Source organism: Homo sapiens, chromosome 13 (genome assembly GCF_000001405.40).
Source record: "Homo sapiens chromosome 13, GRCh38.p14 Primary Assembly".
Classification (NCBI taxonomy): domain Eukaryota; kingdom Metazoa; phylum Chordata; class Mammalia; order Primates; family Hominidae; genus Homo; species Homo sapiens.
The window spans coordinates 23,459,195-23,468,037 of NC_000013.11; the positions used below are offsets into that span (position 1 = coordinate 23,459,195).

The window sequence follows — 8,843 nt, forward strand, 5'->3', positions numbered from 1 at the left end:
CAGCGTCTGCCTGATGCTTTCTAGATAACTGGCACCATCTTTCCTCTTCAGCAGAACTGCAGACGGCCTGGGCTGAAACTGACCTTTGTGATAATTGAGGACACACACCTTGTTTGAAACCTCTCCACAACATCCTTTCCAGAGATTCTCAGTGTTCTCCAATCAACTTAAATGGTCTCATTACTTCCTAAGGCAGCCATCCCGACTCTCGAGACCATTTTCTTAAATTGGACAGGAATCTGATGCCCATATTACCGTACTAAAATTATACACCACTTTATAATTTGCAAAGTACAGTCACACACATGGTGATGGTTAATTTTATGTGTCAACTTGAACAGGCTAAGAATGCCCAGTCTAATATTATTTCTGTGTGCGTGTGTGTCTGTGAGGGTGTTTCTGGAAAAGATTAGTATTTGAATCAGTAAACTGGGTAAAGAATATCTGCTGTCACCAAGGTATCATCCAATCTGTTGAGAGCTCAGATACAACAGAAAGGCCAAAGAAGTAAGAAGTGAGAATCTTTCTCTCTCTCTCTCTCTCTCTCTCTCCTCCCTCTCTCTCCCTCCCTCCCTCTTCCTCCCTTTCTTTCTTTCTTTCTCCCACCCTCCCCTTCTCTCTCTCTTTCTCTCTCTCTCTCAATTTCCCCTCTCCATCCTTGAACTGGGACATCCATCTTCTCCTGCCCTTGGACATCAGAGCTCCTGGCTCTTGAGCCTTTGGACCCTGGGACATACACTAGCAGAGCCCCCACCCCCGCCCCATTCCCAGGCCTTCACCTTCAGACAGAGCGTTACATCATTGGCTCCCCCAGCTCTCAGGCTATCAGGCACAGACTGATTCACACCACATTTTTCCTGGTTCACCAGCTTGCACATGACAGATAATGGGCCTTTTTGGCCTCCATAATTATATGAGCCAAATCCCCTCTTTTACATATATGTATAGACACACACACACACACACACACACACACACACACACACACACACACATATATCCTATCAGTTCTGTTTCTCTGGAGAACCCTGGATAATACGAACACAATCTCATTTAATCCTCACAGCAAGACTGAGTTATTTATTTACATTATTGCTTCTTTCCAAATGAGGAAATTGAGGCTCAGAGAAGTTGCATGGCTTAGCCAGTCACACAGCTGGTAAGTAGAAATAAGATATAATTTTTCTGATTCAGATTTCAATATTCTTTTTTTAGAACCATTGGTCTAAGGTCTATCCTGTGCAATAATACCAAGCATGTCTAATTCCTCTTTTCTGCAACAGACTTTCATATAGTTGACCACAGATGTCAAGTGTCCCATAAGCATTTCCTATTTCTCACAAATATGCTCTGTTCCTTGCATCAAGAGTCATTTGACAAAGTTTCTACACCCCACAGCACCCTCACCTCTCTTCTAAACAGAGCAGTTAGTTTGAAAACTCGAATATAAAGACAATACTTTAGGTATGGCCAGCCCAGCACTAAGGAGAGCACAACTGTCTTCTTCATCCTCTAGTGTTATACACCCAGTAATTCAGCCTGAGCACATGATGTCCATAGCAATATGTTAAGCTACACATTAGGTGATCGCAGGTCTCACTTTGCCCAGGACAGTCTCCAATATGCCTGTTGTCCTGGCTGAATTGTTAATGATGCTCTTGTTTTACTCTTGAATGTCCTAGTTTGGATGACAATTGCATGGTCTCCTTACCTATTAGGAAACATAGCGTCAACCACTTCCTTCCTACAGTTGCTGTTGCTTAGGCTTGTCTTCTTGGGATAAAATTTGGACATAAGCAACAAAAACAAAAAATCTTAAATGTATCCACCTGCTTGAATCCAGCCTATATTATACTGCACGAATGGTCCCAGTTCTTCCGTGCACTCTGTCCTGCTTAGCTTTGCAGAGCCCTCACTCTGCAGGGTGGTGTCATTCTCCAGCCTTCACCATGGCCATGTGACTTGCTTTGGCCAATGGAAAGTTAAGAGTTATGAGATCATACACCCCTGAACAGTGTTTCCATGACTGGACTTGGATGCATATGCTTCCGCCATCACCATGAGAAGGCTGTGTCTGGGATGGCCGCTGTGCCCTGAGAGGAGGCTGAGAGACACATGGAGCACAGGTGCCCCAGCTCAAGTGCCCCAGCCTAGAGCTGAGATCAGCTGACAATAATGAGTGCTGGTTTAAGCCACTGAGTTGATGGTGGATTTTTTAAGGCATCTATACACAGTCTAGCTGCATACTACTCCAGATTCCCAGGCTTTGGGTATCTGACCCTACCATCCAAGCTACCATCATCCTAAATGTAAAGAGTATGTATGCCATACACATACTCAAGTCCCTTTTAAGCCGTTGAATAGGATAGGGCTGTTCTGTAACCCTCATGGAACAGCTTTCCAAATTCATAATTCAATCAGCAGTCTAACCAGACCAGTTAGTTATAATAAATTAATAATTGCTGACTTTTATTGAGCACTTACTATTTGCAACGCCCTGTCTTAAGCATGTGGTATGAACTATCTCATTTAATCCCCTTCACTCTATGAGTCAGATGATATAATCCCTATTTTATGATGAGCACAATGGTGAACACATGGCCTGAGGAACATACCCAAGTCACACAGCTGTGAGTGCAGCTGGGGTCCTCCCTGACAGCAGCACCTTCAATCCTGGGCACCTCATTCCCACCCATCGAATGCTGACCACATTCCAGGAGAGCCTGGCACATGGCTTTGGGGGAGTTGAGAATCAGTCTCAATTCTTAGTGGGATATCACTCACCGAAAAGCAGTCAGTGTGATATAAATAAAAAGAACATGAGATTTGGAGATAGCCAGACAAATGTGGGTTCACATCTGGGCTCCAGCACTGACCTACGGTTGTCTCCTTAATCTCTCTGAACCACACTTTGCTTGTCACAAAATGAAGGTAAAAATGCTAACTTCACATGGTCGTTTAGACTGTATAAAGCTCCTGGCTTGGAAAATTAGCCAGTTTCAGGAGATATTTGCTCTCCTCCCGGTCTTAGGTAAAAATAGGGTTGGTCCAACATCTTGCCCTGTGGTGTGTGGACGTGCTAAAGACTGCACTCAGGCCCTCCCTTGCTGGCCAGGCCATGTTTTGTGTTTATGAAACTAATTGTTTCACTGACTTGCACTTGTTGCTACTGACTCTTACACTGCATATTCAGGTCATTGCGTATTCCAAAAAAAGAATTCAGTCCTCTCCTTGAGCTAGCTAAGTGAAATGAAAGATAAGGCATTACTTCCTCTGAAAAACAAAATTTGGAAATTGAAAAACAAAACAAAGAAAACATTTTAAAAATTCTAATTAGAAGAGGGAATGGAAACTCATTTTCCAATTTTGGAAACCACTTCGTCATTTTGACACTAAATGTAGAAATGAACTCAACTTTGGAGCATGTAGGACCTCAGATCTCTACCACTGCAGATACTAGTAGCTGCGTTGTGCCCAGATAGCAATATAGGTAATGATTACAATCACAGGCTTTAGACCCAGAGACTCCAAGGAGGCTTATTAGCTGTAGGACCCTGGAATGTTTATACTTCGATTTACTCACTTGTAAGACAGAAATTACAATAATGCCACCTCATCTAATTGCAGTTGGAATGAAAAGAACTGATACTTAGAGAAACCTTAGCCCATAGTAAACTCTCAAAAAAAAAATCTGCTGAATTATCATTACTAATGAGATTTTGTTCAGTTAAATTTCTCTTTTAGAGCACATTTTTTTGATTTATGTAAGCATTACTGTAGCCATCCTAGGCAAAGCTACAAGAAAAACAAGGAACTGAAAATAGAAGGTTACTGGTCTCCCCTTTTAAACATTCCAGTTAAGTACCTTAAAATGCTATCTTAACATTTTTTTTAAACTTTATTCTTTCCACCTTTTCTTCTCTTTCCACTTTTCCTTCCCCTCTCTTAACTTCAAAAGCCTAACTGGATGCTAAGGATACCCGTGAAGGTTTGACAAAAGAACAGGATACTGACATGACATTAAATCTCTCCACCCAAACACTAATCAAATACAAAGTCCAAGATGGTGACTTTATCATGAAGGAACTGGCAGACACCAACTTGGTCAATTGAAAAATGTTGGCTCCTGCTCCTGAAAAGAACACAGCATAACTTCTGAGGTAGTCCTGCCAAGATGTGTGGACTGAGTCTAGACGTGAGATAACATCAGAGTGTTATCTCTGTATGTGTCATTTTACACTCTGAAGGGCCTGTACCTTTTAAGACTCTCGAGAACACTGTTATGAGCTGAATCATGTCCCCCTCAAAAATTTATATGTTGAAGTTTAACTCTCAGTCCTCAAAATATGACTATAATTCAGAGATAGTCTCTTTAAAGGGGCAATTAAGTTAAAATTAAAATCGAGCCATTGATGTGGGTCCTTATCTGATATAACTGGTGATTTTCTAAGACGAGGAGATGAGGAAACAGACACACGCAGAGGGGAGATCACAGGAAGACACATGGAGAAGATGGCCATTTGCAAGCCAAGGAGAGAGGCCTCAGAAGAAACCAAACCTGCTGACATCTAGAACTTGGATTTCTGGTCTTCAGAACTGTGAGACAATACATTTCTGTTCTTTAAGTCACCCAGGCTGTGGTGCTTTGCTATGGCAGCCAGAACAAACCAATACAAACATGAAAGAGGGAAAGACTGAGAAACTGTTCCAAATGGAAGGAAACTGATGAGATGTGACGGCTCAGTGCAACACATGATTCTGATCTTGGACCAAAAAGGAAAAAAAGGAAATACATTTTTGGGACAGTCAGTGAAATGTGAATGGGGTCTGAGGCCCAGATGATGCAGAATTGACGTCAACGCCCTGGTTGGGAGGGCTGTGTGGTAGTTACATAGGAGAGTGCCCTCGCTTTAGGGAGATCCACACAATAGTATTTAGGGATGATGGGCATCGTAGCCAAAAATGAATATGTCTGTAAATAAAGACAAAAGCTGATGAAGCAAATGTGGTAAAATACTAACAACTGGGGAATATGGGTGTTCTTTGTACTCTTTGTGAAGCTTTTCTGTGAACCTGAAACCGCTTTTTTTTTTTTTTTAAGGTTGAAAATGATGTCTTGGGATCCCTTGTGTACTGTTGGTAGGAATGCAAAAGTGTACAGCCACTAGGGAAAACAGTGTGGTGGTTCCTCAAAAAAATAAACATAGAATTACCATAGAGTCTTCTGGATGTATACCCAGAAGAAATGAAAGCAGACACTCCAACTAATATTGAAAATGTTTGCTTTCACACTCATGTTCACTGCAGCATTATTCACAACAGCCAAAAGGTGGAGGCAGCCCGAGTGTCCATCGATGGATGAATGGATACACAAATGCGCTATAAACAGACAATGGAATATTATTCTGCCTTAAAAAGAAAGGAACTTCTGACACGTGCTACAACATGAGTGAAACTTGAAGATGGTAAGTTAAATGAGCCAGACAGAAAAGGACGAATACTGTAGGATCCCACTTATATGAGGTACCTAAAATAGTCTAATTCATAGAGACAAAGTACAAACCATTTTTAACGTAAGATGGCTTGACTTATGGTTTTTTTACTTTACAGTGGTGAAAAATCAGTATGCATTCAGTAGCAACTGTACTTTGAGTACCCATATGATATGGTTTGAATTCTCACCTTGAATTGTAATAATCCCCACATGTCAAGGGTGGAGATAACTGAGTCATGGGGGCAGTTTCCACCATACTGTTCTCATGATAGTGAATAAGTCTCATGATATCTGATGGTTTTATAAATGGGAGTTTGCCTGCACAAGCTCTGTCTTGCCTGCCTGCCTTGCCTGCCTGCCGCCATGTAAGATGTGACTTTGCTCCTCCTTTGCCTTCTGCCATGATTGTGAGGCCTCCTCAGCCATGTGGAACTGTGAGTCAATTAAACCTCTTTCCTTTATAAATTACCCAATCTCCCATATGTCTGTATCAGCAGTGTGAGAACACACTAATACACCATAGAACCATTCTGAGCATTTACTGAGCACTTACTATTAGAGCTTCTCACTTTTAGTACAGTATTTAATACATTACGTGGGATATTTTGTACTTTATTGGAAAATAAGCCTTATGTTAGGTGATTTTGCCCAACTGTAGGCTACTGTGAGTGTTCTGAGCACGTTTAAGGTAGGCTGGGCTAAGCTGTGATGTTCAGTAGGTTAGGGGCATGGAATGCATTGTCAACTTTCTGTGGGTTTATCTGGACCTAACCCCATCATAAGTCAAGGAGCATCTGTAGAATGGTGGTTTTTCAGGAGCTAGGGGAAGGGGAATGGGAAAATGTTGTTTAATGACTGTGGAGTTTCAGTTTTACAAGATGAAAAGTGTTCTGGAGTGTGGCTGCACAATGGTGTGGATGTTCTTAACACTGCTGAAGAGGACACATACAAATGATTAAGATGGTAAATGTTTTTATGTGTATTTTTACCCCAAATACTTTTCAAAAAATATCTTGGCTATTATTTATCTCCTTATATATATGTCTTTTTTTGTTTGCTAGCATATAAATCTCTCGGAGGCAGAAAACATGTCTGAAATCTACAGCATGTAGATTTCATACAGGGCACAGTGGTTGACCAGTAATGAGTTCCTGCAGGAGGGGACCCTTCCAGTGAATGTAGACCTGGAAAATGAGATTGTCCTATTTATTCCTCTGAATATTCCCCAGCATCTATCACAGTGCTCTTTATAAAGTAAGTGCTCGGTAAACGTTCATTCGTGGTGATGCTAAGGACCGGAAGGGTCTTTAACCTTTTCTCTCCCTCCTAGCTCAGCCCTCACGGAACCCTAAAAGCTGGCTAAGGGGCCATTCTCCTCGCCACCTGGGCCTGCGTCTGCCGAATCGCTTCCTAAGGACTTTGACTAGAAACCAAAGGTCCCATTTTTCATCTGCCATTTATTTATCATTGCATAACTTAGGTAAGTCCCTCCGCCTTCACTGTCAGTTCTTCACTCATTGTTTTGCATCCAAGGAGTCTGGAAATAAGCGGGAACACCCTGCACGTGAGAGGGGCCCTGAAATTCACGAGGGGCTGGGGCTTTGCGTTTATTCCTCCAGTTCCGCCTGCAGCAACCCTGACGATCGAGCAGGGCCCGCGGGGGAGCGAGCGGAAGCGGGCAGCGTGCGCTGCTGTCCCGCTACCCAGCCCGCTAGGCTGCGCAGCTGCGTCTGCGGGCGGGGAGCCGGGGCGGCCGTGGGCTTCCTCCGGGCGCGGGCTGACGGCTGCCGCCTGTGGGCGCCCCAGCCCTGCAGCCGAGCGGGAGGGGCGGACCAGCGGGTGTCGGGAGCAGGCTGCAGCGGCCAGGCCTCTGCGGCTTCTCGGAGTACTGGGTCCACTGGAGAGCGAAGAGCCGCGGCCGCCAGGATTCCCAGCAGCGGCCGCGTGTTGAGAGCCTAGAAGTGGCCCCGAAGCCGTGCCTTTCCCGATAGCCAAGCAGAAGTAGGACTTGAAGCACCGAGGCTGGGATGCCCATGCTGGTGACGCCTTGGGGCTCGCAGTTATACTTGGTGACCGGTCTACACGGCGATTCGGTGCTTTCCGGAGTAGCAGATTCATCTATCTTTAGACCCACCTTCGTCCTTCGGCGGTTTAGCACGGCCTGCGCTTTCCTGCGAGCCCTGCTGTCACCCGAACAGCCTGATGACTTCACGCTCAACCACTGGAGGGCACAACCACATCATTTTTAAAAAATAGATTCCTCCACTTAAAGGACATGGTTTTGGGGGAAAGAACATTTAAAAAATGTAAAAAGATATATATCTATATCTATATATCTATCTCAGATTGTTCTGATATAAACTCAGGTGGGATTCTTCAAAACAGGAGGCTGTTCCAGTCTCTTCATTTTGCAGCTGAGAAAACGAAGGCCTTGGAGCTTGAGAACTCCAGTTGCCCAAGGCACACAGGTGGTGGGTAAGGAAGCTGATCATGTCTCCAAAGAATCCTTCCATGACCCAGGAGGATCCGGTGGGAGAGCAGGGCCGTCCACAGCTCAGCTAGGACACAAGAAGGCCCGGGGTGGCAGGAGCCCCACTGTGTGCTGCGGAGGATGGCAGAGGAAGTCAGCATTGTCCCGAAACTGCAGGATCATGTGATGTGATGGGAAAAAATTATGAGTACAAGACACAGGAAGAGCAGGTCACGGAAACACATGGTGCCCAGAAGGGCTTAATTAGTAGCAGCTGTGCGGGGTGATGCACAGAGTGCCCCAAGGGTGTCCTGAGTGAGGGTGGATGTCCCCTGCCCTCTGGCTTCGTGAAGGCTTCGTGAAGCCTGCCGGGTCACCCTTGTTTTCATGGATAGCTTCTTTAGGACACTCTCTCCACCAGTAATTGACAAAGTCTGCTTCTGTTGAGTGTCTGATAAAGGATTGAGTTTACATGATTGTTAAGATAGGATCATGAAAGAAGACAGAAGACGGATGTGAGTGGCCCTCAGAAAAAAAGCATCAAAGGAAACTGAGGAGTCTGTGTTCCGAGTTATAACATCAGTCCTGTGTGTAAGTGCTGAGTTTCAGCTCTGCCCAAGGCTAGGGGTTGCCTAGTCGGCTTCAACTGTAAGCTCCTAAGGGACAGTGCTGCCCCTTGAGATGACTGGGCAGCCATCAGCTTCATGCTAGAGGCTTTAAAGCAAACCCAAGATGGAGTCTCAGTACTGATTATTTGGGCCAGTGCCTTTCTTAACATTTCACGGATATATTCCTTTATTTTATTTGTTGTATTTTAGTACAGTTTTGCTCTATTCAGTCATGGTCATTCTTAGTTGCTGTTGTCTTTGTAAACTTATT

General features: G+C 44.2%; 4 annotated features.

Annotated features, from left to right (window-relative positions):
- Positions 1,431-1,480: an enhancer, noted in NCBI's record as "active region_7455". NCBI's record gives its function as "activates an Ori minimal core promoter by ATAC-STARR-seq in GM12878 lymphoblastoid cells {active_cell/tissue: GM12878}" and the evidence as "EXISTENCE:reporter gene assay evidence [ECO:0000049][PMID:35858748]".
- Positions 2,010-2,179: an enhancer, noted in NCBI's record as "experimental_32713 CRE fragment used in MPRA reporter constructs". NCBI's record gives its function as "activates a minimal promoter by MPRAs in K562 erythroleukemia cells, with activity observed for both the introgressed and non-introgressed 13:24035428 variant alleles {active_cell/tissue: K562}" and the evidence as "EXISTENCE:reporter gene assay evidence [ECO:0000049][PMID:34662402]".
- Positions 7,099-7,378: a silencer, noted in NCBI's record as "silent region_5173". NCBI's record gives its function as "represses an Ori minimal core promoter by ATAC-STARR-seq in GM12878 lymphoblastoid cells {active_cell/tissue: GM12878}" and the evidence as "EXISTENCE:reporter gene assay evidence [ECO:0000049][PMID:35858748]".
- Positions 7,489-7,648: an enhancer, noted in NCBI's record as "active region_7456". NCBI's record gives its function as "activates an Ori minimal core promoter by ATAC-STARR-seq in GM12878 lymphoblastoid cells {active_cell/tissue: GM12878}" and the evidence as "EXISTENCE:reporter gene assay evidence [ECO:0000049][PMID:35858748]".